Source organism: Homo sapiens, chromosome 12, assembly GCF_000001405.40.
Source record: "Homo sapiens chromosome 12, GRCh38.p14 Primary Assembly".
NCBI classification, from domain to species: Eukaryota; Metazoa; Chordata; class Mammalia; order Primates; family Hominidae; genus Homo; species Homo sapiens.
The window spans coordinates 102,998,936-103,001,897 of NC_000012.12; positions in this window are offsets into that span (position 1 = coordinate 102,998,936).

Below are 2,962 nucleotides of genomic sequence, written 5' to 3' on the forward strand. Positions count from 1 at the left end.
CAATTTTTCCCACATTTTACTGTCTTCTTCTGAGCCCTCCAAACTGTCTTAATCTCTGCCTGTTACCCAGTTCCAAAGGTGCTTCCACATTTTTGGGTAGCTTTTCAGCAGCACCCCACTATACTGGTATCAATTTACTGTATTAATCTATTTTCATGCTGTTGTTAAAGACATACCTGAGACTGGGCAATTTACAGAAAAAAGAGGTTTAATGGACTTACAGTTCTACGTGACAGGGGAGGCCTCACAACTATGATGAAAGGCAAGGAGGAGGAAGTCACAATTAATGTGGATGTAGCAGGCAAAGAGAGAGATCTTGTGTAGGGAAATTCCTGTTTCTAAAGCCATCAGATCTTGTGAGACTTATTCACTATCAGGAGAACAGCATGGGAAAGGCTTGCTTGCATGATCCAAGTACCTCCCACTGGGACCCTCCCACAACACGTGGGAATTCAAGATGAGATTTGGGTAGGGACACAGCCAAACCATATTAGGAACTATATTAATATGAATATTGGATCTCTTGTTATCACTCCACAGGTTCCTGAGGTACTGCTCAATTTTTTTCAGTTCAGTTTCTCTTCATTCATATAATTTTTTATATAATTATAAATAGTATATATTTTTTAAATATCAGTTTCCTATTGTTCATTGCTAGTATATAGTAATACAATTGATTTTTCTATTTGGTCTTATATTCTGCAATCTAGATTCCATTTAATTTTCTACATGGATTTTTTTTCATGAATGATTATGTCATCTTTAAATAATGGCAGTTTTACTTTATTCTTGCCAATATTAATGTCGTATTTTTTATTTTTCTTGCCTTAGTGCATTTGCTAAAACCCCTAGTACAATGTTAAATATAATGTCTTTTTTCCTGTTCTTAGCAAAAAATCATTTAGTCTTTCCCCATTAAGTATGATGTTAGTTGTAAGTTTTTCATAGGTGCCATTTATTAGGTTTAGGAATGTCGTTATATTCCTAGTTTTCTGAGAGTTTTTCTTTTTAAATCAGGAATTAACATTAAGTTTTGTTAAATATTTTTTGTGCCTCTACCAATATTATCATATGTTTTCCTGTCCACTAATATGATAAATTATATTGACAGATTTAAATATAGCAAGCCAATCATATATTCCTGGGATACATACCACTTGGTCATGATGTATGATTGTCTTTATATATCAGGGAATGCTGATCTTCAGTTTTCTTTTCTGGTAATGTCTGGTTTTGGTATCAAAATAATGCTGGCCTCAAAGAATGAGTTCATGAGTATTCCCTTCTCTTTGATTTTCAACTTTTTGAAATATTTGGGGTAAGACAAACATAATATCCTCCTTAAATATTTGCTAGAATTCATGAGTAAAACCATCTGGATCCAGAGTTTTCTTTGTGGAAAATGTTTTCTAACTGTAAATTCAATTTCCGCAATTTATATAGTACTGAATATTATGAGTTAATCTTAGTTGGTCTAAATTGGCCCCTGTACTTGTCTTCAGGGTTGTTGACTCTTGGTCAATCATATTCTGTAACCTTGGGTAAGTTGTTTCATAATAGAATGTATGAGACTTTCAACATTTTTAGTAATAATAATTTGACTTATGATTTGAATGTGGTTTCAGTGGATTCTGGGAATTTCAATGGTAAAGTCTGGTCAGTTACATAGCTCGAATGTGTTTATGTGACCAGCTCACTATAAGAAAACCCCCACCATATACAAAATTTTGGCTTTGGCTTTCTTCTACTGAGGGTCTTTGCACACATGCTGGTGGTAATTTAAGACCTAGAGACTATGCATATTCTATGTGAACTGATCCAGTGTGAAAGGAAAAAAAAGCCTACTCTTGAGACTTCTAGTGCCCTTTCTATGCACATATTTCTCCATCATAGTTACCGTTTTTGATGCTCTTAATTCCTTTGATAGATTCAGGTTTTCATCTGATACAATTTTCTTTTTACTTGTAGCACTCACTTTAATATTTCTTTTCTGATAATGGGTTCTTTCAGCTTCTGTATGTCTGAAAACAATCTTTGATGCTCTTAATTCCTTTGATAGATTCAGGTTTTCATCTGATACAATTTTCTTTTTACTTGTAGCACTCACTTTAATATTTCTTTTCTGATAATGGGTTCTTTTAGCTTCTGTATGTCTGAAAACAATCTTTATTTTACGTTTGGTATTGAAAGATATTTTCACCAATTATAGCATCTTAGGTTGGCACATCTATTTTTCTTTCAGTACTGTAAGGATGTTGTTCCATTATTTTCTGTCTTTTTTTGTGACAAGATATCTGATGCAATCTGTATGTTTGTCATTCTGTATATAACATGCTTTTTTCTGTTTAATTTTAAGATTTCCTTTTCATCATTGCTTTTAAGCAATTTGATCATATTGTGCCTTGGTGTAGTTTACTTCATGTTTCTTGACTTGAAACTTGTTGAAATTTTTGAAACTTTAGATTTATCATTTTCTGCAAATTTGAACAACTTTTTGGCCATTTTTCCTTTAAATATTTTTTCTAGATACCTCTACCTCCCATGTGTCTGATTGTATACACATGTGGCCACATATGTCCCACAGCTCACTGATGTTCAATTCATGTTTTCTAGTCTTTTTTTCCTCCCATTTAATTTTAGAGTTTCTATTCTTGTTTAAAATTCAGAAATTTCACTGTCTTATCTGCCATTAATCCTATCCAGTGCTTTTTTCACTTGAAGTTTTTATCTCTAGAAGCCTAAGATTGGTTTTTAACAGTCGCTTCCATGTATCTATTCAACATGTGCATTCTTCCCTCAGCTTTTTGAATTTATGGAATACAATTATAATAACTATTTTATTGTCATGTTTGTTAATTATAATCTGTGACATTTCTGGGTGACTTTTAATCAATTAATTTTTTTATCTCATTATGGCTAATATTTTCCCATTTCTTTGCATGCTTGGCAATTTTTGGTAGGA